The sequence below is a fragment of the Homo sapiens genome, chromosome 17, assembly GCF_000001405.40.
Source record: "Homo sapiens chromosome 17, GRCh38.p14 Primary Assembly".
Classification (NCBI taxonomy): domain Eukaryota; kingdom Metazoa; phylum Chordata; class Mammalia; order Primates; family Hominidae; genus Homo; species Homo sapiens.
This window is the reverse complement of record NC_000017.11, coordinates 74,458,400-74,486,226: the sequence shown is the minus strand read 5'-3', so window position 1 is coordinate 74,486,226 and position 27,827 is coordinate 74,458,400. Positions and strand designations below refer to the sequence as shown.

Below are 27,827 nucleotides of genomic sequence, written 5' to 3'. Positions count from 1 at the left end.
CCCTGTCTCTGGTTTGACAAAGATGGTTCTTCCCAGTGTCCTTTGGTATGCAGAGCATCCTGGAAGGGAGTTGGACAGTAAGACTTCCAGAAGACTATTGCAAGCCAGCCCGCTCCCTCCTGCTATGAGGCCTCCTTGGAGAATGGGGGTGGTCCCAACTGAGACTCTCTGGCAAGGAAATGACATGAAGGACTCCCAAGGGGCTGCCACCTTCCACAGGGCAAATGGTTTATACCGGGGAACTTATTCCACCACCAAGCCTTAGAGATTGACGGGGCAGGGGGCTGGGGCCAGCGTGTGGCTGTGGCTGCAATACCCTCCTGCCCCAGCCTCACCCCGCCACTCCACCCAGTTTTATTGTGGAGGTTGTGGTAGTTATAGCAGCCGGCATTGACAACCAACTGATAGCCTAGACATTTGCATTTTACAGAGGACTTACTTCTAATTGATAGAAATTTAGACCGAATTAAAGAGAAAATACTATTTCAGAGAATTAAAGTTCACTCCCATTGAGGAGAAGGGGTCCTTCGAACAATCCCCTGAGTCTTAGAGTCAGTCTGGTGCCACGAACCTCTGTGTTTTAAACCACCCTGTGGAATTCTGTCTCTGGAAACAGGAACCTGAGAAGGGTTACTGCAGATCAGGACTGAAACGTGACCGGGCTCAATTCAAGTGAAGTCAACAACTATTTCTGGGTTCCCCTCCGTACCAGGCACATGTCTAAGCCCCGACCCACATTATAGGCTTCATGGCAGCCTCACCTTTCAGATCCAGGAGTCCACATTGCACAACTCCAGGAGTTCAAGGCTGAGCAACACAGAGAGACCCTGCCTCTAAAAAAGAAAAATTAAAATGAAAAAATAAAAACATAAAGCTGTTGGCAGCTGCCACAGACTCAAGACAGCCTGGACAACTCTTTGCATTAAATTTCAAATCTCCCGACAAGAAAACTGCTGTGTTTTCCATCATGCAAACTGCCAGGCATGGTGACTCATGCTGTAATCCTAGCACTCAGGGAGGCCAAGGCAAAAGGATCGCTTGAGCCCAAGAGTTCAAGACCAGCCTGGGCAACATGGCGAGACCCCATCTTTACAAAAAAAAAAAATTCAGGCATGGTGGCATGTGTTTGTAGTCCCAGCTACTCAGGAGGGTGAGGCAGGAGGATCACTTGAGCCCAAGAATTCCAGGCTGCAGTGAGCTGTGATCGTATCACTGCACTCCAGCCTGGGGGACAGAGCGAGGCCCCATCTCAAAAAACACACAAGCAAACAGACATCATGGCAAGAAGCAGCTGTGACCCACCTTCTCCCACTCAGTGAGGACTTCTCTTAGGATGTCCCCAACCCACTGCACCCACAAGGCTTCTCTGCACTCATCTGGTATCAAAGCTGGGAGCTTTCTTTTGCAGAGGATTGCAGACACATAGCAGGCATTGTTTAAATAAGTTTTTACTTCTCCCTCAATAAGATATTTGAAACTGTTTTTATATTTCATATTAAAAATAAACCTAAGAGTCCAGAGAAACTTGCCACCAGTTCTGGAGCCATGAGCAATTCTCTCCTCCCTCTGGCCTCAGTTTCCTTGTCTGTGAGATGGGGAGAATCTTTGATCTTGATCTTTAGTGGGTCCCCCCTCCATGGCCCCCAGGTGAACAGATCTCCGCTTTGGCACTCTCTTCACTCTTCTTGACAGTTCTCCCCAACTCCCAAGCAATTCCAGACGTTCCTATGGGGCTGTGATTGACAAAGCTATTGGCAGGTGCCACCTACGTGAGCCACATCTTTTCCTGGAGCCACGCAGGAAGAAGCTTTGTCCTCCACACACAGAGCTGGGATGAAGCAGGGGCAAAGGGGAAAGAGGTGACAGGCACTGGTGGCTGGGAGTGCTTCCTGCTGCTCTCCGGAGCCCCCAGCCCTGCTGGCCCTCGGGGAAGCCAATCAAGCTGATGGCAACAGAGGGATGGCCTGGGAAACCCAGCTGCCTGTCTGTTGGTCACTGTTGTCGAGGGCAGGCTGAGAAGGACGTGGGCCAGGTATAAGGGAGCTGTCCCTGGACTTCCTGGGGCCCATGAGAGCTCCGATGGCGAGGCAGGACAAAAGCCTATGTCTTCCTTATCACACTGTAATCTGAATCTGGTTCCTCCTCCCGAGGCCTCTGAGCAGCTATCCTGTTGGTGTTAGAATCAAACACCACCGAGGCATAGTGAAGTTCTTCCCTGGGGGAGGCCTGCAGAGAGAAACCAAGAAACTGAAGACTTGGGAGAGGCAAGGGAAGAAAGGACCCCCAACATAGGATGGAGGAGGGAGGACACCTGAGGGGCTTTGGGGAGGCCTCACTGTAGAGGCTCCACTGTCCTGGCCTCTTTTTCTCTATGATCCTGTCCACCCAGCTGCTCCTCCCCAACTGGGCAAGCAGCAGCACAACATCCCCAGCATCAGAGGCAGGAGGCTCCGGGGGCTCCTCAGGGCTGACCCAGCCTGGTCCATTCTACAGGGAAGAAACTGAGGCCCTGAGACCTGGCTGGGCTCCCCCAAGACACCTCTGTGCTTCTCTTAATGAAATATTCTTGAGGCCAGGCACAGTGGCTCACGCCCTTAATCCCAGCACTTTGGGAGGCCAAGGCGGGTGGATCACTTGATGTCAGGAGTTTGAGACCAGCCTGGGTAACATAGTGAAACCCAGTATCTACTAAAAATACAAAAACTAGCTGGGCGTGGTGGTGGACACCTGTAATCCCAGCTACTTGGGAGGCTGAGGCAGGAGGATCGCTTGAACCGGGGAGGCGGAGGTTGCAATGGCCAAGATTGCACCACTGCTCTCCAGCCTGGCGACAGAGTGGGACTCTGTCTCAAAAAAAAAAAAGAAAAAAAGAAAAGAAAAGAAAAAAAAAGGAAAGTTCTCACAACGAAGCAGCCATGGATCCCTTTCTGCAGAGGACCCCTCGTTCTCTAGGTGGAGTTGAAGCCAGTACAGGGGTACTGCGTTGGCCCTGCAGCTCTGATTAACTTGCTGTACTGTGGGCATGAGTCCCAACTTGTACCAAGGGGGCTGGGAGAAGAGTAAGACCATGTGCCATCCACTTTAAATCATGAGACAACAAGTTAGAACAAGGCTGTTGCTGGTCCCAGGCCATGCAGCTTCGTGGACACAAGATCATGTCATGCAAGGAAGGAGTCAGGCTTGAGTGCAGGGGCGCTCAGAAACTTGGCCAGGAGCTGGCCGGGTGTGGTGGCTCAGTACTGTAATCCCAGCACTTTGGGAAGTCAGGGCAGGCGGATCACTTGAGGTCAGGAGTCCGAGACCAGCCTGGCCAACATGGTGAAGCCCCGTCTCTACTAAAAATACAAAAATCAGCCAGTGTAGTGGCAGGTGTCTGTAGTCCCAGCTACTCTGGAGGCTGAGGCAGGAGAATTGCTTGAACCTGGGAGGCAGAGATTGCAGTGAGCCAAGACTGTGCCACTGCATTCCAGCCTGGGGGATAGAGCGAGATTCCAAAGAAAGAAAGAAAGAAAGAAAGAAAGAAAGAAAGGAAGGAAGGAAGGAAGGAACTTGGCCAGGAGCCATCCAGGACCCTGGGCCCCCAGACCACCCTCATCCTCATGCAGACAGCTGGCGGGAGGTTGGGGAACGGTGCGGCTATCAGGGGACCCGGAAGTGGCAGGTCTGGATCCCCTCTTCTCCTGTCAGGTGCAAAACGGCGGCCTGGGGAGAACGGTACCAGGCTGGAGATATCCCAGGGAGTTGGGCCACTTTTCCAGGCAGACCAGCAACAATGTCCCCTGTCACCCTGGTGCCAGCCCTCCATGGCACCACACGACTTGTCTGAGGGGCCTCTTCAGCTCCCAGGCCTGGGGGCACTTTAAGCTTCCCTGCTGATGCTTACATCCCTCCCGATCCTCTCTGCCAAGTGACCCCCAGCTTCTGCTTGAACTCTCCCACTAGCAGGTGGGTCACGACCCAGGGAGGCAGCCCCCATCCCATCATCCCAGTTGAAGGTGGCTGCGCCCAAGGGTTGACCCACAGCGGGTCACAGACAAAAACCCGAAAGCAGAATTGATGTCAAAGAGATGATGAGACCAAAACAGTGAGAAGTCACAGGTTCTCAGCTTGGCTCACGATACACAGCAGGTGCTTAACCCATGCTGGACTTCACGGACTGTCAGAGCCATAGCTGCTGGCCACCCCCAAAAACCCCCCACCACAATGACACCAAGCCCTCCTAAGGACCTCTGCTCTGGCAAAATCTACACTTGCTCCATCTCCATGTGGCCCTGTCCCTGACAGGCACAAGATCACCAAGCCGACCCCTTCCTTCCCCTTCTGCCCACCCTCCCAGGGGTGCCCTGGCACAGCCCAGGGGCCGCATGCCCAAAAGCCGGGCTCCTGCACTTACCACAGTGCTGTATTCCACCTCCACCTCCCTTGGTGGTGCTGGCTTTTCCTGCAGAGGCCACATCAGCAGCTCCAGATTTGCGTAGTGCAGCTCACTCTGCGTGGCAGCCTGGGTGGGCAGGAGGTCCCAGGTGGGTGTCCACGGAGCCCTGCAGCCTCTGTCCCTGCGTCTCTGCATGTGTCTCCCCTTCCTCTATGCTCTGAGCACCTCAGCCCCCACCTTCCCCTTCCTGCCTCCACCCCACTCCGTCCAGTAGTTTAATGTTCCCCAGGTCAGCTTGGCTGGGAGGGCCTCCCTTCATTCCATTTGCCTTGGTGGGGAGGGGACAGGCTGGCCAGGACTCAGAACAAGACCTAGTGACCACATCTCCCAGCATCATTCGTCCTGCTCTGGGTGAGCTCCCCGCTCCATCCAACCTCCGTTGGCCGATGGGACTGTCCAACTCCCCAGCAGCCTCTGTACCCTCCGCCCAGCCACCTGATACACCTCCTGCTAAAGCCCCCTTACCTGCTTGGGGTTCTGGGACAGCTCTGAATGGTCACCAGCTAGAGACAAGAGGAGAGGAAGGAGGTTGAATCCCGGAACAATGGCCAGGATGGAGGACCTTACAAGCCTTCTGGGAAAAGGCCTTTCCCTAGAGACCTCAGCCCTGGGGACCTATCCCTTCAGGCCTGAAGCATGGTAGGAACTCAAGGGTTTGTTGAGTGAGTGAATTAGTGACTTAGTAAATGAATGAACGAGCACAGGATGAGTGAATAAATGGAGAAATAGAAAGATTCCAGCTGGGCCGGGTGCGGTGGCTCACGCCTGTAATCCCAGTGCTTTGGGAAGCCGAGGAGGGCAGATCACTTGAGGTCAGGAGTTCGAGACCAGCCGGGCCAATAGGGTGAAACCCTGTCTCTACTAAAAATACAAATATTAGCTGGGCATGGTGGCACACGCCCTGTAGTCCCAGCTACTTGGGAGGCTGAGACAGGAGAATCGCTTGAACCTGGGAGACGGAGGTTGCAGTGAGCTGAGATCATGCCACTGCACTCCAGCCTGGGCAACAGAGCAAGACTCTGTCTCAAAAACGAAAAAAAGAAAGAAAGAAAGGAAAGAAAGCTCCCAGCTGGAGGAGAGGGACCAAAACAAGCTCTCAACACGGGATCTCACACAAATGTTTCCAGGGGAGGAAGGATGCCACTGAAAAGCCCTGTGCATCTGGGGCTTAGGGCTGCATCAGACTGTGGGAAGTTGCTGGGGCCTCTGCTCCCATCCCCGTGCCTGAGGTCTGCCCTCCCAGACAGCCCACCTGCCTGCTGCCCCAGGCCGTAGGGAAGGAGGCCTGTCAGCCCCAGGGACGCCAGCTCAGGCTCACACAGCCCTTGGCTGCTGGCACCTGCTCTATAAGGGTGCTGCCTATGAGCACAGCCCTGTACACCCTAACCCTTTCACCCCAGGAGCCCGGACCACGTGGGCAGCGGGTGACACACACGCTGCTGATGCCCTTGGTTAGGTCCACAGCCAGGCAACCCCAGAGCCCACTGCACTGGATGCTGTGGGGATCTGTGGGCTCCTCCCCCAGAATTAAAGGGGAGGAGCCCACGGTTGGGAGACACAAGACCACGTATAGTGACGGGCTTGCTGAGCCACAGCTGACCTAATGGAGTGCGCAGCCGGGTACTCTGGGGTGCGAAGTGCCCTGCTTCCAAGTGCTGTGCGCAGGCACCACACTGCCCTCCCTGTCCCCACCTGGGACAAGTGTTCTGATGGGAAGGAGAAAAAGAGCTGGTGGGGAAGAGACAGGAGTTCAACGCCCGGGAAGGAGGGTGGTAGTGAGAAGGTTTGGGGGAGCCAGCGGTAGGGGAAGCTCACTGAAGGTAAGACCCAGTCTACCCCAGTCACAATGTTGTCCCCAGGGCCCAGCACAGGCCTGGCACACAGTAGGTGCTCAGGACAGCTTTGTTGTACGAATGAATGAACGACAAATGTGGGCTGGGGGAAAGAGTGGGGAGTAGGTGTGATGAGGCAGGTGTCAGGCTCCAGGCAGGGCAAGGGGAAGTCAGCCCCAGCCACACAGTCAGGGGATGGGGCACGGACTTGCAAAGCAGGGGACAGAGAGTCAAAAATGTTTGAATAGAAAGCCTTTATCTTGTTACTGAGGATGGGTTACAGGAAGCTTAAGACACCAGTAAACTCTGCGTCTGTGATTTTTAGAACATTTACTAGCTGGGAACATGGTACCATATGTTAAGTGCAAAAATGTAGGTTTAAAAGAGAATGAGTGGTATGAGGCCAATTTGTTAAGACATCGCAGATGCATGACTGGGTGTGGTGGCTCACATCTGTAATCCCAGCACTCTGGGCTTGAGCTCAGGAGTTCAAGACCAGGCTGGGCAACATAGTGAAACCCCATCTCTTAAAAAAAAAAATTTAACCATTAGCCAGACGTGGTGGTGAGCACCTGTAGTCCCAGCTATTTGGGAGGCTAAGGCAGGAGGATCACTGGAGCCCCGGGCAGTGGGGGGTCGAGGCTGGAGTGAGCCAAGATCATGCCACTGCACGCCAGCCTGGGTGACAGAGTGAGACTCTGTCTCAAAAAAGAGAAAAAAAAAGAAATCATAGATGCATTTACATAGGCATAGAAAAAAAGACTGGAAGGATATACCTCAGGGGCCAGTGGCTGGTTTTCTCTAGGTGGTGGGGTTTTTAGTTATCATCGATGATGGGGGATTTATTTCCTTCTTTGTGCTTTTGCTCATTTTTCAAACTTCCTACAATAATCACATACATCCTTTTCAAGGGGGGAGGAGGCTCTTTGAGGAGCCAGAGACTTTCTGGGTGAAAGGGCACAAAGGAAACCGAAAGGGGCTCAGAACTGAGACAACCCAGTGGCATCCACGTGGGTGCTGAAGTTTAGGATGGGATTACCAGAAAATGACACACACAAAGCAGATGGGAAAGAGGAAGTGGTTTTCTTCCCATACACCCTGCACAGATCTACTGAGGCTGATTTCTCCGCCAAAAGCCTGGGCGCCACAGGAGGCACTGGGGATATGTGTGAGCAGTGCCCCCCACCAAGCATGCAGCAGCTTATCCTGCAGCTATGGGACAGGATAACCCCATCTCTTCCCACCCCAGTCTCACTGCAGTCTTGGAAGGCTTTGGACAAAGATTCCCCTGAGAATCTTCTGCCTGTGGAATCTTCAACTCTCCGAACAGGGAGGAAGCTTCAGGCTTACACTTGACCTCGGCCAGGGATCTGCAATCTAGAGGACTGGTGGCCACACCTCCACTTGTTCCTCTGTTCCTGTGCTTATTCAATTTGCCTATCAGCTATTTATTGAGCATCTACTTACTGAGTGCCAAGAGTTCCTGTTCTCTCTTTTAATCTGAGCTCAGAGGAGGGCAGCTGGACTAGAGATTGCCTGGAGGCCCCTGGGGTGCCCGTTGCAGCTGGAGATACTGAATAACACATTAATTTGACAAATATTGGTTCTGTACCTCCTTGAAGCACATGCCTGTGGGAAGGCAGATGAGGACACCAGCAATGACAGTCTGGTTCCCAAAAGGCTGTGACAGCAGAGGTATAGCCAGGAGGGGCCCCAAGCCACTCTTTGGAGTCAAAGAAAAGGTCCCAGAGAAAAGAAAGTCTGAGGACCACTGTTGGAGTCCACTGGGAGTGAGCTGGGGAGAGGGGGCAGGGGAGGCCCTCCAGCCCAGAGCAAACCCAGAAGGAGAGGAGAGGCTGAGGTTGAGGCTGTCATTAAAGGAGATACAAGAAGTTGGTTTCCAGGGTGCGCGGATGGGGAGAGGGAGGTGGGTAGAGCCAGATCGTGGAGGGCAGTGACTCCTGTAGATACCTGGACTTTTTATGGTGGGGGAGACCATGCAAGGGTTTATTTTATCTTATAGACACGGGAGCCTTGTTGTGTTGCGCAGGCTGGTCTTGAATTCCTGGGATCAAGCAATCCTCCCATCTCAGCCTCCTGAGTAGCTGGAACTACAGATGCACACCACTGCACCCAGCACACCATGCCAGGGTTTTAAACAGAAGAGGGTCATTGCTTCATGGGGCAACCACCCTTGGCCTGGAAGTGGGAAAGCCTCCTGCTTGGGAGCCACCTCTCACAGCCTGTAACCACCACGCACAAGGATGCCTCCCATGGGACCTGCCCTGTAGGATCACCTAGGATGTGTGGTCTGGGTGTCACATGTCATAGCAATACTGTGGGACGTGGACATAGCTTTGAAGATGAGCGTCTGTGGTCAGGGTCTGACCACCCCAGGTGGGGCAGAGGGGTGTGGGGAGCCAACTCACCTTTGATCCATTTCTGAAACATCCTCCAGGCTAGCAGGGAGGCCCCCACCAACAGAAGCAGCAACAATGCCAGCAGGGAGAGGAGCAGCGGGAGCCTGGAGGAGGCACAGGATGGTAAGGGCGGGGCCAACTTGCCTTCTCCAACTTACTTTTTTATTTTTATTTTTTATTTTTATTTTTTGAGACAGGATCTGGCTCTGTTACCCAGGCTGGAGTGCAGTGGTGATCATGGCTCACTGCAGCCTTGAACCCCTGGGCTCAAGTGATCCTCCTGCCTCAGCCTCCAGCTACAGGCACAGGCCACCACGGCTAATTTTTAAATTTTTCGTAGAGACTCAATCTTGCTATATTGCCCAGGATGGTCTCAGACTCCTGAGCTCAAGCCACCCTCCTGCCTCAGCCTCCCAAAATGCTGGGATGACAGGCATGAGCCAATATACCTGGTCTCCTTCTCTAACTTTTTAAGTAGATAGATAAGGTCAATTAAAAAAAATAGACAGTATAAAGCCCCCTTTCTACACACCCCCCATTTACACATTCCCCAATTTCCCCACATACACACACGTGCTGTTCTTAAGAACCTTCCAGAGTTTCTTTATGTGTATACAAGCAAATACGAATGTACGGGATCTCCTTTCTCTTTCACACAAAGGAGGCCTCGTCTAACACTATTCTGGTTTTACTTAGCAATACATCTTAGAGGTCTTTCCACGTCAGTACATAAAGAAGTCCCTCACTCTTTCCTATAGCTGCAGGGTATTCCAACACATGGATAGACTGTGATTTATTTAAATGTTCCCACTGAATGGGCATTTCCCCAGTCCTTTGCAATGGTAAACGTTGCTTATAAATCGCCTTGCAGCTCCACCTTTTCACACCTGACCACGCAGCAGCAGATTGACCAGGAGGCTGATGCAGCCCAGCTTCAGGTCCCTCCATTGCTTGGGCCCTTTCCTTCATGCCTACGTTTGCATTCATAATTTTCTCATCTTTTTCTTAGATTACCCACCCACCAACCCACCCCGCAAACTGCACAACCTTCAGGCCCCACAGAACTCAGCGCTGCCACCTATGTGTATCTACAGGCTAAACTTCTGGAAGTGGCATGTTCAAGCCTGAATTTTGCCTTGTCTTATATGTTGGCAGAAGCCTGTGGAGGGGTTTATGGATGTTGTCCAGTAAAGAATCTGGCTGGCCTTTGTCCCTAGCTCTTAGGAGGGAGGCTCTAAATCCTTGGAATGTCCCAAAAATTAGGAGTGTCTTTGTTGTTCATGAATCACACCTGGACTTTGGTAAGAGATGAGACAATAGGATGGGGCTGGTCACCAGAAAGACCAACTACGTAATTAGAGATTTGGAGCCCTGAGCCAGCCCAACCTCCCAAAGAGGGACTGGAGGTGGAGACAGTTCAATCACATCATGCCTATGTAATGAAACCCCAATAAAAACTCTGGACACCAAAGCTTGGAGGAGCTTCCTGGTTGATAAATATATTGAGGTGCCGCAGGGAGGGTGCAGGTGATGCTCCCTGATTCCACCTGGAGAGGGCACAGAAACTGTTTGGGAATCCTCCCAAGCCTTGTCCTATGTGTCTCTGCATTGGCTGGTCCTAATCTTTATCCTTTATCCTTATGATAAAACTGTAATTGTAAGTATAATGCTTTCCAGAGTTCTGAGTCTAACAAATTATTGAACCTGGGGGGGTCCTGGGAACCCCCAAATTTGCATCCAGTTGGTCAGAAGTGTGGTGGCCTGGGGATCCCCAAAGTTCGACTGGCATCTAAATCAGGGCGGTCTTGTGGGATCTGATTTAGATGTGGAAGCTCTTCACCTGTGGGGTCTGCACTAACTCTGGGTGGATAGTGCCAGGATGGAATTGTGGGGTTTTGTGCTAGAATAGGGAGTCCGTGAATCCCAGAAAAGGTTTGTGACTGCATGTGTTTTTCTGGGGAGAGTGTCCATAGATGTCAGATTCTATGTGGGGTTGGTGAACCCGAAAAAGGTTAAGAACCACTATTTAGAGAGGAGAACTCAAGGCTCTGGAGTCACATAAACCAGAATTGGAAGCTTAGCCTTAGCCTCTTGTAGCTACTTGACTGGGCAAATTGCTTCACCTCGCTGAGTCTCAGTTTACTCATCTGTAAAATGGGGATTGATGTGGGTTGGCTGGGTCCCCACCCAAATCTCATCTTGAATTGTAGCTCCCATATAATTCCCACGTGTTGTGGGAGGGACCCAGTGGGAGATAACTGAATCATGGGGGTGGTTTGCTCCATACTGTTCTTGTGGTAGTGAATAAGTCTCACGAGGTCTGATGGCTTTATAAGAGGAAACCCCTTTTGCTTGGTTCTCATTCTCTGTCTTGCCTGCTGCCATGTAAGACATGCCTTTTGCCTTCTGCCTTGATTGTGAGGCCTCCTCAGCCATGTGGAACTGTGAGTACATTAAAACCTCTTTCTCATTATAATTTATCCAGTCTCGGGTATGTCTTTATCAACGGTGCGAAAACAGACTAATACACGGAATGACAACAGTACAGGGCTGCAGTGAAAGGCAAGTGAGAATACTCATGTGAAGCATCTAACACGGGCCTCGTAGGATGTTACCAGCTGTCAGTAACTATCACTTTCCTTCCATCTGCCCCCCAACTTCCCCCCTACCTGAGCCCCCTTCCAAAGCCAAGGGCAGGTCCAAGCCGGGGTGTTCAGACTATGGCTTCCAACCTGGGCCTGGGGCAAAGGGAGCGATGCACACCTCCAGCTGGCCCACATGGCCAAGGTCCCCGCCCTGGGCTCCTCCTCTTAGCACAGGGCCCCCTCCATGTCTCAGGGGCTAGGGTGCTTACTGTGAGTTCACCACCTCCTCAGTTTCCTCCTGGATGCTGGCACTGTGGGTGGCACCCACTGCAAACAGGGTAGTGGATGATACAGGTGGAAATGCAGTTGTGATTGTTGAGGTCTTGGCCGCAGTGATACTTGCAGGTGTCATTGACGTTGATGCTGGTGGCAAAACCACAAGTCAGACCCAGGGAGCTGTCCTCTGGCTCTCCCACCACTCAGGATGCCTTTTTGGTTTGATTTCACACAAACTGCCCACTAAGGAAGGGGGCAGGATGCAGGACCCTGGGGCTAGAGTCTCTCCAGGACCCTCCTGGGCCAACTGGGCATTTCTGAACAGGACACGGGTGCCACTCCCAGTGGTCCTGATTTTCCATCCTGCTGATGAGGGTCCAGGTGCTCCTGCGAAACTCCATGCTGCAGAGGAGTCTGTCTACACTGCAAATCTGACCTGTCATGTGGTAAGGCTCCCCCTGAGGACAGCAGCTTCCCATCTGGCCCCCCAGCCTCTCTGTTCAGCCCCACCCCTCCCCCACTCAGCTGCACTTCCGTTGGGGCTGAGCCACAGGTGCGCTCCTGGCTCCTTCACAGGCAACGCTCTCTCAGCCTCCCTGTCACTGGACCCTTCCCTTCTTCAATACTGGGCAGACATGTCAGCTGCTCCAGGAGAGACCCCCTGACTGTGTTCCCCTGGCCCCCACCTCTCTCTCTCTTACGCACACACACACACACACTGTCTGCTTCACGTCTCTGATCTGATTCCTGCCCCAACAATTCCAACCTGAGCCTATTTAGGCGCTGAGGGAAGGAGGGGCTCACCCGGGAACACGGACACCTCAACCTCGACAACGGGATCATGAAAGTCTCGGAGCCATGGTGTATCCACCCCACACCAGTAGGTGCCTGCATCCTCCTCTGTGAGATTCTCCAGGGTCACTGTGAAGCTGAGGTTTGCAGGACTGTCCCTGATGGACACTCGGCCGTTCCTTTTTCCTGCTGACCCTTTGGTCTCCACAATCTTGTCACATAGGAAAATCTGTGGTGGTCTGCACCAGTATTTGTTGAGGGTCCTGTGTTCCTTCTCATAGGGACACTGCACACTCAGGGATCCCCCCACGGGGCCCGCCACGGTCCTGCATTTGCTCAGAGCAAAACATCCTGGAAAACACAAGCCAGAGTCCCAGCTCCTCCTCAGATGAGCCTGGTCAGGGGTGCCCTGGGGTCAGGGCCGCATGGACCCTGGGGGTGTGGAGGAGGCAGCGGCAGGCAGAGAGGCCTTGTCCACCCAGGAGCGGGGACTGAGGATGAGAGGCTACCTCCGCACACAGGTGGGAATGGGGCAGAGGCTTTCCATGGAGACCGGAAGAGCTCAGGCTGGGTGCCCTGGAGTCACCTCCTCCAAAGATTCCCCGACTCCACATCAGCACCCCCAGCCCTCAGCCCCTGACTCCTTCACCTCATATCAGCCCCATCAGCCAGATCACAGCTTGAGTATTCTCTTTTCTGCTCTACCACCCTCAAGATTTTGCTCATAGTAGCCCCTTTCTCCAGCCCCCTGCCTCCTTTCCCTTACCCTTCCCACCCCTCTCACCCACCAGGGGCCTCCTGCTTCCAAACCTGCCAGGAGCATGAGAACTCACCCCTAAGCACCTGCACTCCCGGGAGGGCCACCCCAGCCCTGGGCAACCCTGCAAGAGGAAGACCGGCCCACACACTGATCTGGTCCCACCAAGGGGCAAACCCGGGCAGTAATAGGGTTGTCAAGCCATTTTGACAAGAATACTGGCTGGGTACAGTGGGTTATGCCTGTAATCCCAGCACTTTGGGAGGCTAAGGTGGGTGGATCACTTGAGGCCAGGAGTTCGAGACTAGCCTGGCCGACATGGTGAAACCCTGTCTCTACTAAAAATACAAAAATTAGCTGGGCGTGGTGGCATGCGCCTGTAATTGCAGCTACTGGGGAGGCTGAGGCACAAGAATCGCTTCAACCCTGGAGGCGGAGGTTATGTTGAGCTGAGATGGCACCACTGCACTCCAGCCTGAGTGACAGGGTGAGACTCTGTCTCAAAAAAAAAAAAAAAGAGTCACAAACGCAGAAGGCTTGCTGACGAAAACTTTCATCCTGTGTCTTACCTTAGTTTGCCCAGCTCTCCTAGACTTAAATCTCGGAAATAAATGAACTTCCTTGAAAATTATGTCTGACATTTTCCCAAATAATTATCAGATGCAAAGCAAGGAGAGTAAGGTGATGGCTCGAAGCTAGTGTTGGCTGCCAAGCAGAGGACACATGGCCCCTGCCCCAGGCAGATGGGCACAGGCCTGCTGGGCAGTTGTGTGTGCAGTGTCTCAATGCCCTTGTAATTCTGTGATTAGGCCCCATATTGTTCAAGGATGGTGGGGATGGGGGCTTGCTCTTCTTTCCTTGGGTTAGAACTCTTTGATTTTTTTTTTTTTTTGAGATGGAGTCTTGCTCTGTTGCCCAGGCTGGAGTGCAGTGGCGGGATCTCGGCTCATTGCAACCTCTGCCTCCCGGGTTCAAGCGATTCTCCTGCCTCAGCCTACCGAGTAGCTAGGATTACAGGCGTCCACCACACCCGGATAATTTTTGTGTTTTTAGTAGAGACAGGGTTTCACCATGTTGGCCTGGCTGGTCTCGAACTCCTGACCTCAGGTGATCCACCTGCCTCGGCCTCCCAAAGTGCTGGGATTACAGGCATGAGCTACTGCGCCTGGCCAGAACTCTTTAATTTTACTTACTGTTTCAGATGCTAAATCTCCTCACACATGAGACTTTGGTAGGGGTCTCCTTCTTATACCTTCAACGTCTACAGGTGCCTTGCACCTGTAGGCCCTCTACAAAAACTTCAGTGCAAGCTTCTCCTGGACCCCACTAGCTCCACACCCAGCCCACGGCTGCCCAAAGATAAGCTCCTCTGTGCCTCTCCCAGAGTCCCACCCAAACCTCTCCACGCCTGGATGTACACATCCCCCTGCAGAGAAGGCCTTTCTAAGCTTGTCACAGGTGTGATGCTTCCTGAGGCTCTCAGCAGCAATTGCCAGGACAAAGCAGAAAGATCCTCAGAACCATCTGCGTTTACATCTCTACCCTATTACGTATCAGCTGTGTGTTCTGGGGCAAGTTAGTTAACCTCTCTGAGCTTCAGACACCTTGTCTATAGAGTGGTGACAATTGTCCCTGACTCATATGGCCTTTGAGGGTGTTAAATGAGATCACAGGTATAAAATGCCTGGTAAATAACATTAGGTTGAATCACATGAAATGGCTGATATTAAACTTTTTGACCAAGACAACAGGGTTTCACATGACTCCAGCTAATAAAAATAGATAACCTCTGGGCTGACTAAATAAGACATGACAAGAGAAAAGGACCATAGATGAAGAAAGAATGAAGAGTCAAGATATTTTGCAGAAATTCTCTACATAAAATTCATAAACTTAGATGAAAGTTATTTTCTAGAAAAACACAAATCACTAAAATTGACACATATTAAGTACTTAATAAGTAAATGGAGCCTGGGCAACATAGTGAGATTCCATCTCTACAAAAAAATACAAAAATTAGCCAGGTGTGCTGGTGCACACGTGTGGTCCCAGCTACTCAGGAGGCTGAGGTGGGAGGATCATTTTAGCCCAGGAGGTTGTGGCTGCAGTGAGCTATGATCGCATCACTGCACTTCAGCCTGGGTGACAGAGTGAGACCCTGACTCAAATAAATAAATAGGCCAGGTGCAGTGGCTCATGCCTGTAATCCTAGCACTTTGGGAGGCCAAAGTGGGAGGATTGCTTGAGCCTTAGGCATTTGAGGCCAGCCTGGGCAATGTGGTGAGACCCCCATCTCTACCAAAAACACAAAAAATTAGCCAGGCATGGTGGCACGTGCCTGTATTCCCAGCTACTCAGGAGGCTGAGGCGGGAGGATCACTTGAGTCCAGGAGGTGGAGGTTGCAGTGAGCTGTGATCACACCACTGCACTCCAGCCTGGGCGACAGAGTGAGACTCTATCTCAAAAAAAATAAATAAAAACTGTCAGTTCCCAGCCCTCCTTCACCCAAGACACTGTTCCTGCTCCCTGTCCTGACCCGATTCCCTGCCTCTCCTGGGCTGCGAATCGTCATCTTTCTTTGTCCATGTTTTGGCTTCTCTCCTGACCTCAGTGACCCCACCACCTCTGCCCACTGCACCCAATCCTGTCTCTCGTCCTACCTCCAGTGTCTGACTTCCCTTCGGATTTAGTTTCTTTCTCCCTCTCTCTCTCTCCCTCTAGCTCTCTCTCTTTCTCTCTCTCCTGATTAACTTCTCTTCTCTGAAATCTTGGATAAAAAACTGTCACCCAATCATCTCCCCAAAGCTCTGTTCCACCTGTGAGGGTGTCATTATAATTTAGAGATTGCGAAGTGTCAGAAAACCCTCCATTTACTTCCCCACTTACCTGGAACGATCACATGGATCCCCAGTGCTCCCAGGCTTGTGTTTCTGCGCTTTCTCTCTTCCAACCTGAATCACCACCCCAAACCCCTCTAATCATAAACAGGAGACTGGGGACCACCTTGGGGCCAGGGTCCTCTACCAGGATATTCCTCTGTCGTCTTAACGTTTTCCTTGAAGATCACAGAATCTTGACCCATTAACTCTCAGGTAAATGACTGAATTGTCCAACTCAAGAGGTCAGAAGAGGAACACACACACCCACACACAACACAGAAAGAACCAGGTCATCTTTCACGAACTGGTGAATTCACAGAAATCAGTGAATTAAGAAACAGAAAAACAGTGGAGTTAGTATATACATTAATAAATGGATTTTTTTGTAAGGGGTAAATGATTAATTATTTTATTTCATTTTTTTGAGACAGAGTTTCGCTCTTGTCGCCCAGGCCAGAGCTCAGTGGCATGATCTCGGCTCACTGCAACCTCCGCCTCCTGGGTTCAAGTGACTCTCATGTCTCAGCCTCCCGAGTGGCTGGGACTACAGGGTGCACACTACCATGCCTGGCTAATTTTGTGTTTTTAGGAGACACGGGGTTTCACCATGTTGGCCAGGCTGGTCTCAAACTCCTGACCTCAAGTGATCCACCCGCCTTGGCCTCCCAAAGTGCTGGGATTACAGGCGTGAGCCAACGTGCCTGGCCTCAAACAATTAATTAGACTAGTAGGTAGTCAGACCAAAAATAAAGAAGACGCAGATATAAAATTCAAAAGAAAAATTTGCAAATCTCTGCAAATAAGTCTGCAAACCTGGGCGACACTGATGATTTTTTAGGAAAATATAAATCATCAATGTAGGCCAAGAATAGACTTTTTTTTTTTTTAAGAGACGGGGTCTTGCTTGCTATACTGCCCAGGCCAGTCTCGGACTCCTGGGCTTAAGCTATCCTCCCACCTCAACCTCCTAAAATTCTGGGATTACAGGTGTGAGCCACTGCACCCAGCTAGATTTTTTTTAATGTAGACCAAAAATGATGAGTGTTATTAAGAAATTCTTTCCCTTCCATCAAAAAAAAAGAAGCAAAACTCAGACAGTTTTACAAGCTAGTTCTCTAAAAACTTCAAGGAACAAATAATTTCAATTTTATGTAAACATTTGCAGAGAACACGGAAACAGGGAGATCTCCCTAATTCTTTCCATGAAGCCAGCATAATAAATCAAGACAAACATCTGACCAGATCTCCTAATGTAGTTCACCTCCTTCATAGCTGAAAGGATAATAATAATAATAATTTCTATAAATAATAAAAATGGTATTTTGTGGGGGCCGGAGGCCAAGGCTGGCAGATTGCCTGAGCTCAGGAGTTCGAGACCACCTTGGGCAACATGGTGAAACCCCGTCTCTACTAAAATACAAAAAAATTAGCCAGCAGTGGTGGTGGGTGCCTGTAAGCCCAGTTATTCAAGAGGCTGAGGCAGGAGAATCACTTGAACCCGGGAGGCGGAGGTTGCAGTGAGCTGAGATCAAGCCACTGCACTCCAGCCCTGGGTGATAGAGTGAGATTCTGTCTCCAAAAAAATAAATAAAAATAAAATAAAAAATGTTTTGTAGGGGCCAGGTGTGGTGGTTCATGCCTGTAATCCCTGCATTTTGGGAGGACAAGATGGGAGGATCCCTTGATCCCAGGAGGTGGAGGCCAGCCTGGGCAACATGGTAAGACCCTGTCCCTAAAAAAAATTAAGAATCCAGCTGGGTGTGGTGGCACACACCTGTAGTCTCAGCTACTGGGGAGGTTGAGGTGGGAGGATCACTTGAGCCCGGGAGGTGGAGGCTACAGTGAACCGTGATTGCACCACCGCACTCCAGTTTGGGTGACGGAGGGAGACCCTGTCTCAAAAAAATAAAAATGTTGGCCAGGCTTGGTGGCTCACGCCTGCAATCCCAGCACTTTGGGAGGCCAAGGTGAGTGGATCACCTGAGGTTGGGAGTTTGAGACCAGCCTGACCAACATGGAGAAAGCCCATCTCTACTAAAAATACAAAATTAACCAGGCATGGTGGTACATGCCTGTAATCTCAGCTACTCGGGAGGCTGAGGCAGGAGAATCACTTGAACCTGGGAGGCGTAGGTTGCAGTGAGCCAAGATCGCGCCACTGCACTCCAGCCTGGGCAACAAGAGCAAAACTCCATCTCAAAAAATAAATAAATAAATAAATAAATAAATAAATAAATAAAAGTAAAAATGCTTTGTGAATAGTCATTGGTGGATCCCTTCTTCCTAATAATGAGAAGCTCTGGTCCTTTTTCCCTGAGTCAGCAACAAGGCAGGGACAACCACTACCACTATGTCCGCTGGGCCTCACTCCGGCTGTACCAGCCAATGAGTCAATGGGAGAAAGAGAAACAGATATTAGACAGGAACTGAAACCTTCCCATGCACACCGACCCTATGAAACAGAAGAACACCCAAGAGAATCGCAGGAGCACCTGTTATGGGAGGATGACCCGTTTCCAAGTCAAGACACCAAAAGTAATAACCTTCCCACAGACAAGTAGTTAGCAAATATAATTGCAGAAAACCTCCGATCTGTAAGGAAAGCAACCACAAAGACGTACAATACCCTAGGACTAGGCCTGAGGAGTCTGCACAGGAGCTGTCTGAGGAGAGCGGTGGACGTGACTGAAGGCACAGCAGGTGACTCTGCGGGAGGAATCCCTGCGCTTGGACAGGGAAGACTCAACTCCACGCTTCTCCCTAAAGAAGATCTCAGCGCTTCTCTGCCCGATCTTTTCCCTCCTCGCCCTCCCCACCACCTTTTCTGTCCCCTCTGTCCCATATCCCCTTCTTGGAGAGGACTGACCCCTGGTTCTCAGGCCCATGCAGGGGCTAACCCCAGCCAAGGCTGCCTCGGGACTTCCCCCTGCTCAGGCCCCAGCCGCTGGGCTGCCCTGGTTAAATCTCCGCATTCCAGAGACTATCGATCTGCTCCCCACCCCGACCCTATCTCCCTCACCGCCCCACCCCCTCCTCCGTACCCTGCACCTAGTGAGGCCGGCATCTCCCCCACCCTCCCCACACCCCCCTCCTCCATACCCTGCACCCAGTGAGCCCGGCATCTCCCCCACCCTCACCACATGCCCCTCGCAGTCAGTGGCTGCCACTCTCCACCCACCCTGACACATCCTGCCTCTCGTCCCCCTTCCTGTAAGAATTCAACTGAAAACCTAAAAGGTCCCTTTTCTGCACCCACCCCTTATCACTTGCCCCGCTGTGGTTCAGCCAAGGTACGTGGGTGCAGAGCCGGGAGAGGCCCTGGCTCCTTCCTCTCCCAGGGGTGTGGACCTTCATCTGTCCATCTTATGTGGTAGACAGAGCGCACCGCATTCTGCGTTCTGCACGGAGTCCAGACTCGGGGCGTCTCGTGTGATACCTGCCCTGCGGCCCTGCCCCTCGCACCCTCCCTCCCTGCCGCAGACTTTCCCGGGAAGGGAAACTCTCACCTGGGACCCAGAGAAGCAACAGAGCCCAAGGCAGCCACATGGTCCCTTCCCCAGCACAGGCGGCACTTGCAGCAGCTCCAGGCCCTACCTGGACCCGAGGGGAAAGTCACGCCTCCAAGGCCCCGACTTCTGCTTTTCTTGGTGCCGCGCTGCTTCCTTGTTCAGCTTCTTTTGGTTCTATTCCTGGAGCCGGTCAGAAAATGCAGGAAGCTGGTGAGCCCCGACTAAGACTCCCTAGAAACGGCACGTCCTCCTTAACGCTGGTTGAGGCTGCAGGTTCTTCGGCTATTTCTAGTGATGAGACCTCTCCCTGTAGTGACTCCGTAGCTTGCAGGACTGATCCCCGACTCTCACTTCCCCGGGTCTCCTCCTAGTGGAAGGCCCAATAACTCCTCCCTCCTTTCCTTGTGGTCAAGGTGGGCAACCCTGGGGGTGGGACCCGCTGAGCTGGCTCCTCTCACCCTCGGTGGTGCCCACGAGGAGGCTGCCAGGGGGAACTCCCCTTTCCTGAGTCCCTTCCCTGAGTCCCTTGGAGGTCCAGGCCTGGGCTTCGGGGCTGAGGGAAGGGGAGTTGTCATCGTGACTCCAGAGTCCCTGAATGGTTCCTAGTCTTGGAAATGTGTCCTCAACTTGACACAGAGGTCCTCCGGCCATGCCTTCCTTTCTATATAGCCCCATTGGAGCCAACTCGGGGCTGGGCACAGAGCAGGGACTCAGCGAGCCTGCAAGGACCCCTTTCCTGATCCACACAGAGTGCAGACTCTAAACACACACACGCTCACACTCACATACACACTCACACCCACACACACTCACCCACACACATTCACAAACACACACTCACATACACACACTCACACTCACCCACACACATTCACAAACACACACTCACATACACACTCACACAAACACACTCACCCACACACATTCACAAACACACTCACATACACACTCACACAAACACTCACCCACACACATTCACAAACACACACAAACACACTCAGCCACACACATTCACAAACACACAAACACACCCACACATTCACAAACACACTCGCATACACACAAACACACATTCACACACCCACACACATTCACAAACACACACTCACATACACACTCACATGCACACATATTCACACACACCCACACATTCACACTCACACATACACACAAACACATTCACAAACAAACACGTTCATGCACATACACTCACATATACACACTCACACACACATTCACAAACACTTTCACAAACACATACACACACGTACACACAAACACATACACACATTCACAAACACGTTCATGCACATACACACACACACACAAACATTCACACACCCACACACAAACACACACAAACACACTCACACTCTCACATACACACACACTCACCCAAACACACTCACATACACACACATTCACACACACCCACACACATACACTCACACAAACACATTCACACACCCACACACATTCACAAACACACACATACGCACACATTCACAAACACACGTTCATGCACACACACATATACACACACACAAACACACAGGCACTCTCACCCACACACATTCACAAACTCACATTCACACACAAACACAAATTCACACACACTGATACAAACACACATACACATTCACACATTGAAACACTCAAATTCACACAACGCACTTACATATACAACTGAAATACACTCACACATTCACACACAAACTCACACACTGACACATTCACACACAGTGACATACACTCACACACACACAGTCTCACACACGTGCCTTGAGTAGGTGCCCCAGCTTGCACAGAATGACCAGGTGGGCACAGGAAATGCCACTCCTAATGTGTAATGCGTCACCTGGGAGCTTGCAGTCCCCAAGCTCAGAGTGTCCACCCACATGGAGCCCTGTGCCAGCTATGGGATCCCAAGAATATCCTTCCCTCTGGCCCTTTTTGGAATTTGTCACTTTCCTCTTCCTTCTGAACACAGGGGCGCCTTGCCCACGAAGGTGTCAGGAAGCCAAGGAGACCTATGGGCTCTGCTGCTGGAAGATTCAATGACAAAGCCTGGTGGACATTGTGGAAATTTTCATGATGATGCAGTCATAGATTAACTAAACCTCATTAAGATCCAAGACACTTCGGGCCGGGCGCGGTGGCTCACTCCTGTAATCCCAGCACTTTGGGAGGCCGAGGCAGGCGGATCACGAGGTCAGGAGTTCGAGACCAGCCGGGCCAACGTGGCAAAACCCTGTCTCTACTAAAAATAAAAAAAATGTGGCGGGCACCTGCAATCCCAGCTACTCGGGAGGCTGAGGCAGGAGAATCGCTTGAACTCGAGAGGCAAAGGTTGCGGTGAGCCAAGATCGTGCCATTGCACCCCAGCCTGGGTGACAAGAGCAAGACTCCGTCTCAAAAAAAAAAAGATCCAAGACACTTTGGATCATGACACTGTTGAGCTGAACATAAAAATGCAGGAGATGTGTCATATTCGGTGGCTTATGTGGCCTGATCATTGCAAAGTTTCTCAAAAATTATTTTTTGATTCAACCATGACCAAAAAGGCGCTGCTGCAATCTTGAACGTCCAGGCCAGACAGAGAAGCAGAAGGCTAAGTTCTGGCGTGGCTTGTCCACTTACCACCGAATGAACTTGAGCAAAGCCTGTGGCTTCTGTAAAACGTCAATAATGACAGCTCCTCTGTGGGAATAAATATTATTATGATTATACAAATACTGAAATGTCAGTGTTCCTTAACATCCTCAGGTCAGTTTTTTCTGAGGGAATATATCTCTACTTTTGATGAAAGGTAATAGGAAAATTGGATTCCACAGGAAGTGCGCTTTACACTTTAATCTATGGGATGCAATTCTCCTTAGGCACATAGAGAAACACCTGACTTACTGCAAAGGAGAAGGGATCAGGGGACTTAGACCCTGCCACGCCCATCCTGCTCACCCCATCCTGTCCACAAACCCAAAGGAAGAAACAAAATGGTGCAAAATAACCACAAAACATGAGAGTTTTTTGCCGGAAGTTGCACATTCCGGCTGTGTCCCGATAACCATCAGGTGACATGACTCAGGGGGAGGAGGAGATGAGGCCACAGGGCTGAGGCCCATTTCCCAGGGGTGAGGGTGAGAAGTGGTCCCACAGCAGCCACAAAACTTCTGATCAGCTCTGGAGTCTCTTCCTGGTGTGGACACACGTGCTCAGAGGCCAATGAGGGGTGCTTTCTGGGAAGACCTGCAGCAGCAGCATTGAGTCCTGTGAACCACCCAGTCCTCAGAAAAGATGTGGGGAGTGGATGGGCTGTAGTTTCTCAGCAGAACTTCCCTTTTGAAAGCAGCCCAATCTCTAGAGCCACCCTCCCGCCAGGGCAGCCTGGGCTGTTCCCCATCCACTCTGTTCCTTCCTCCCCCTGAGCTTGAAGCAAGGAGGGCCTTGGCCCCATGGGTGCCACTCAAGGGCAGCCCAGAGGCTGGGCACGCAGAGCTGAGAGGCGGGATCAGGGCGGCGTGACTGTGGCCCCCTCATTGGGATGAACAGCTTGTCAGCTGCTGAGCACAGGATGGAGAGTGGGGGTAGGCTGACCTCTGGGGGGAACTTACTGCCTCTTGGTACTCTTGCTGTGTGTACTTTGAGTTGTGTACTCAGGGTCTGAATGAGATTTGCAGGGGGAGGGGCATTAGGAAAGGACAGAGGTTTGGGACTAGGAAGATCTCGCTTCCTTTCCCCAGGAGCCTGGGTGAGACCAGCTGCAAGAGCCTGACGCTGCCTGGGGACTGACCATGCCCTGGCCTCCTGCCCATCTCTGGGGAAGCTTCCCCACTCCTCCTGCACCCCCCAGAGGCTGAGGCAGCTTCAGCACCCCATGCCCCAGCATGTCCCACGGTCCCCGGGCCATACACAGTCCACACCAGCTGGTCACGATGACTGGTTACCTGCTCTCCTGCTTGGTCCTGGGTGTACCGTGGTCAAGAGGAAGAGAAAGAGGAAGCTGTAGGCAGATGTGTGGTGGTCACAGTCAGAGGCCTGGGAGCCTCAGCGTCCCCCAGGGTTTCCTGTCCACGGTGCCACTGCTCCATGCAGGCCCCAAACCCAATCACAGGGGCCTGGCCTGGAAATAACTTCTCTGCTTTGGAGAGAGGAGCCTGGCACGGGACCTGGCTCAATAGCCGGGGGCCTGTGGAGCTCAGCAAGGCACCAGAAGCGCTTAAGATTTGTGCATTTCAACAAAGTTACAACTCAACAAAAAACAGATTCAACGAGAGGCCAGTGGTCTGCATACCTGGAAAAAGAATCAGGCTGGGCGTGGTGGCTCACGCCTGTAATCCCAGCACTTTGGGAGGCTGAGGCGGGTAGATCACCTGAGGTCAGGAGTTCGAGACCAGCCTGGCCAACATGGTGAAACCCCCGTCTCTACTAAAAATACAAAAATTAGCTGGGCACGGTGGCAGCTGCCTGTAATCCCAGCTACTCGGGAGGCTGAGGCAGGAGAATCGCTTGAACCGGGAGGTGGAGGTTGCGGTGAGCCGAGATCACACGACAGCACTGCAGCCTGGGCAACAACAGCGAGACTCCATCTCAAAAAAAAAAAAAAGAAAGAAAAGAAAGGAAAAATAAAAAAATCAGTACAGCATCAAGCCACTTCTCAACCTCACCCCACGCCCATCTCCAGGGATGTATAGAGGTGGTGGTGGGAAGAGGGCGGCCTCTGTCTGGCACTGCCCTTTGGTGTCTCCGATGAATCCCAGGTAATTATCAGGGATAGCATCATGGATCAGGATGGGGTGGGAGGCGGGTAAAGGGTGCCTGCCTCAGGGAAGCCCCACGACCATGACAATGGTGCCGCACGGCGGGGAAGGTCAGAGCCCTGAGCTGCAGGTGCGTCCTTGCTTGGAGCCAGTTTCCTGGCCGTGAAATGGGAACACAGCGCTCCAGCCTGCCCTGTACTCCTCAGGCTGCTGGGAGGCCTAAAATGAGATCAGAGATGTGAATGCACCTGTGCAACCTTCAGGGCTGTTTGAAGGTGTTTGTTGAACTCCCACCATGTACACACGTGAATCTATATGCCTCACAGCTCAGAGAGATGAGGTCACTTGCCTGTAAGAACCCACATTTGTCCACCATATTGAACCCCAAACTCCAGCCCACTGTGCAGTAACTCCCTAGGGGGGGACCTCTGCTAGCCTTTCCCCTTGTTTTTTTTTTTTCTGTCACCTCCGCTGCCAGACCCCCTTAGACCCTTCCTGGCACTAATTAGTTGTTAGTTTTTCAAAGAGCTAACTCCCTCCTTCTTGCAAAGTGAGAGGAAACAGGGAAGCTTGTCAACTAACCAAGTACCAAAGTAGAAACTCCCAACAGAAGGAATGGGGCTTCCTACCTCTCTGGGGTTGAGGAATTGAGTGCTGTGTGTAGGTGCTGCATGTCAACACAGCTGAAGGCAAGGTCTACTGGCCAGTACCGGCCTAGCCTGGACCCAGGTGTGCCCAATAGATTCCTATCTGGCTCCAGGGCACCCCAAACCCCAGCATCTTCTCTCTGCTCCAACTCCTGATGGCTCACCTGGCTTCAGAACCCTGGCTCCAGGGCCAGGCCGGAGGCCCACGCCTGTAATCTCAGCACTTTGGGAGGCCGAGGTGGGCAGATCACCTGAGGTCAGGAGTTCGAGAGCAGCCTGGCCAACATAGGGAAAACCCGTCTCTACTAAAAATACAAAAAATTAGCCTGGCGTGGTGGTGCACGCCTGTAGTCCCAGCTACTCAGGAGGCTAAGGCAGGAGAATCACTTGAACCTAGAAGGCAGAGGTTGCAGTGAGCCGAGATCGCACCACTGCACTCCAGCCTGGGGCGACAGAGTGAGACTCCGTTTCAAAAAAAAAAAAAAAAAAAAAGAAACCTCACTCCACCTTGGCTCTGTCCCCACCCCCTACCCATCCCTGGTTGTCTGTCCCATAACTGGTTGGCCCCAAGTGGACACATTGTGGCCCTAAAAACTTAGGGTGGCAGGGAGGGGAGTGAGCAGAAGCTGGACAGAATGGAGCTGGGGTGAGCCAGATGGTGAAACTTAGCCCTGGAGCAGGCGGGTTGTGGGGAGGTGCTTGAGGGGGGTCCCACAGTCCTGTTCCTAACTCCCAAAGTGGCTGGAGCCAGGGGATGCAAATCAGGCAGTGGGACCCAGCAGCCAGCAAGGGGTGCAGTCGGCAGCCCCCTAAAGAAGCTGCTCTCCTTGGAACCCAGGCAAAGTCTAAACTGGCTAATCACAAGCAGCCCCTGTTGCCATCTGATGTTGGCTGCTAGAACTGCCTGCTTTCTTGGACAGGCAAATCTGTTCCTATCTCTGCATGTCTAGAAGTGGAGAGGCATCTGTATGCGGATCCTTCCAGATCCCCCAGCCAGTAGACCAGGAACAGGGGAAGCCTCCAGCCCCTTTGGAAGATTATCTGAAGGCTCCAGAGGGTGAAGCCCTCCAAGGGAGAGGAAGAGTGGATGAAAGGAGAGAGAGAGGCAGAAGTCACAGGGGAGGGCTGGGCGCAGTGGCTCAAGCCTGTAATGCCAACACTCTGGGAGACGGAGGCAAGAGATCGCTTGAGCCCGGGAGGTGGAGGCTGCAGACAGCTATGATTGTGCCCCTGCACTCCAGCCTGGGAGACAGAGAGAAACCCTGTCTCTAAAAAAATTATAAAAATGTTTAAAAAGATGTCACAGAGGAGGAAATGGCACAGAGCCCAGCCTTCAGACCAGGCCACCCAGGAGGGACCAAGGGTGCCACGGCTTGGCCTCTGTGGTCTCTTGGGCTCCTGGTTGGCAGTCGAGGAGACCCAGGGGGCTCTCAATGCCCAAGAAGGCCTGTAGCCCTGAGGCTGACCTGGGACTGTCCAGCTGCGGCATTAGCGTAAGCAGGCTGCAGCACCGTGACTCCACTGCCTGCCTCCGCTGGACTGTTCCAGGAGAGGGGAGGGGCTAGGGTGCAGGTGGGGAGTTGGGGAACGCCTGCCTTGCCTCTAGGACTGAGAGGACAAAGACAGGAACCTGGGTTTCAAGCCTCCCTCCCCTGCCCTGAGTAAGGTTACATGCTTTACCTTAAGGCTCTGGGTTCAAGGGACACTGCCCCAGGGCTACCAGCTGGCAGTGACCCCTTTGTGAACATGTGTTTTGGCCATGGGTGCAGGAACCCAAGGTTGCAACCTTAAATACTGCTGAGTGGCCGGGCGCGGTGGCTCACACCTGTAATCCTAGTACTTTGGGAGGCTGAGGCGGGTGGATCACTTGAGGTCAGGAGTTTGAAACCAGCCTGGACAACATGGTGAAACCCTGTCTTTATTTAAAATACCAAAAAATTATCCGGGCATGTTGGCAGGCACCTGTAATCCCAGCTACTTGGGAGACTGAGGCAGGAGAATTGCTTGAACCCAGGAGGCAGAGGTTGCAGTGAGCCTAGATCGTGCCACTGCACTCTAGCCTGGGTGACAGAGCAAGACTCCATCTCAAACAATAAAAAATAAATAAATACTGCTCAGATCTCTAGCTTCTAGAGAATAGGAGAGTCAACTTTTATCATGGGTAGTTTTGGGGGTGTATTAGTCAGGGTTATCTAGAGGGACAGAACTAACATAGATGTAGATATAAAGGAGAGTTTATTAAGGAGTATTGACTCACGCGATCACAAGGTGAGGTCCCACAACAGGCCATCTGCAAGCACAGGCGCCAGGAAGCCAGTCCAAGTTCCAAAACCTCAAAAGCAGGGAAGCTGACAGTGCAGCCTTCAGTCTGTGGCCAAAGGCCCAACAGCCCCTGGCAAACTACTGGTGCAGGTCCAAGAACCAAAAGCTGAAGAACTTGGAGTTCAATGTTTGAGGGCAGGAAACATCCAGCACAGCAGAAAGATGGAGGCTGGAAGACTCAGCCAGTCTGCTCTTTACATACCTGCTTTTATGGTGCCCTCCCAGATTGAGGCTGGGTCTGCCTTTCCCAGTCCACTGACCCAAATGTTAATCTCCTTTGGCAACACCCTCATAGACACACCCAGGAACAATACTTTGCATCCTTCCATCCAATCCAGTTGACACTCAATATCAACCATCGCAGGAGGTCAGAGTGTATATGTTGGGGTGGGGACTCAGGGTGTAGCAAAAACAGCAGCGACCTGGAGAGAGCTCTGTGGGGTGAAGCAGAAAGAGACATAACTCCGATGCAGTTTCCCGGTCCCGCTGACCACATTTGCTTACACAGATTCTGGCAGAAGTCTCAAGCCTGGGTGCACATGAAAATTCTTCGGGGGCCTTTGGGGGCAGGCATGGTGGCCCACACCTGCAATCCCAGCCAGTCAGGAGGCAGAA

The 27,827-nt window shown here is 52.1% G+C and overlaps 1 protein-coding gene and 1 long non-coding RNA gene across 7 annotated transcripts, besides 6 other annotated features; one reads left to right on the top strand and one right to left on the bottom strand.

The window, feature by feature from the left end:
* Window positions 1-1,428: 1,428 nt before the first annotated feature.
* CD300A (CD300a molecule) lies at window positions 1,429-19,854 on the bottom strand. Of its 6 annotated transcripts, none has more exons than NM_001330456.1 (7): window positions 19,572-19,854; window positions 12,353-12,691; window positions 11,542-11,695; window positions 8,697-8,791; window positions 4,901-4,938; window positions 4,394-4,501; window positions 1,429-2,226 (listed from the first exon to the last, which is right to left on the bottom strand). In NM_001330456.1, the coding sequence occupies exons 3-7, from the start codon at window positions 11,682-11,684 to the stop codon at window positions 2,101-2,103; spliced, it is 510 nt and encodes a 169-aa protein (NP_001317385.1). In that variant the 5' UTR covers window positions 11,685-11,695; window positions 12,353-12,691; window positions 19,572-19,854; the 3' UTR covers window positions 1,429-2,100. The 6 variants fall into 6 exon arrangements, with proteins under 6 accessions (NP_001317385.1, XP_005257047.1, XP_005257048.1 ...); NM_007261.4 differs by having other exon boundaries at window positions 1,433-2,226; window positions 19,484-19,593; XM_005256990.4 differs by lacking the exon at window positions 4,394-4,501 and having other exon boundaries at window positions 19,484-19,593.
* Window positions 7,152-7,201: an enhancer, noted in NCBI's record as "active region_12709". NCBI's record gives its function as "activates an Ori minimal core promoter by ATAC-STARR-seq in GM12878 lymphoblastoid cells {active_cell/tissue: GM12878}" and the evidence as "EXISTENCE:reporter gene assay evidence [ECO:0000049][PMID:35858748]".
* Window positions 7,212-7,291: an enhancer, noted in NCBI's record as "active region_12708". NCBI's record gives its function as "activates an Ori minimal core promoter by ATAC-STARR-seq in GM12878 lymphoblastoid cells {active_cell/tissue: GM12878}" and the evidence as "EXISTENCE:reporter gene assay evidence [ECO:0000049][PMID:35858748]".
* Window positions 18,452-18,581: an enhancer, noted in NCBI's record as "active region_12707". NCBI's record gives its function as "activates an Ori minimal core promoter by ATAC-STARR-seq in GM12878 lymphoblastoid cells {active_cell/tissue: GM12878}" and the evidence as "EXISTENCE:reporter gene assay evidence [ECO:0000049][PMID:35858748]".
* Window positions 18,453-22,219, top strand: LOC124904056 (uncharacterized). Its single transcript, XR_007065899.1, has 2 exons — window positions 18,453-18,677; window positions 21,477-22,219. It is a non-coding gene; the product is annotated as an uncharacterized LOC124904056 (long non-coding RNA).
* Window positions 18,942-19,001: a silencer, noted in NCBI's record as "silent region_8935". NCBI's record gives its function as "represses an Ori minimal core promoter by ATAC-STARR-seq in GM12878 lymphoblastoid cells {active_cell/tissue: GM12878}" and the evidence as "EXISTENCE:reporter gene assay evidence [ECO:0000049][PMID:35858748]".
* Window positions 19,042-19,101: a silencer, noted in NCBI's record as "silent region_8934". NCBI's record gives its function as "represses an Ori minimal core promoter by ATAC-STARR-seq in GM12878 lymphoblastoid cells {active_cell/tissue: GM12878}" and the evidence as "EXISTENCE:reporter gene assay evidence [ECO:0000049][PMID:35858748]".
* Window positions 23,009-23,118: an enhancer, noted in NCBI's record as "active region_12706". NCBI's record gives its function as "activates an Ori minimal core promoter by ATAC-STARR-seq in GM12878 lymphoblastoid cells {active_cell/tissue: GM12878}" and the evidence as "EXISTENCE:reporter gene assay evidence [ECO:0000049][PMID:35858748]".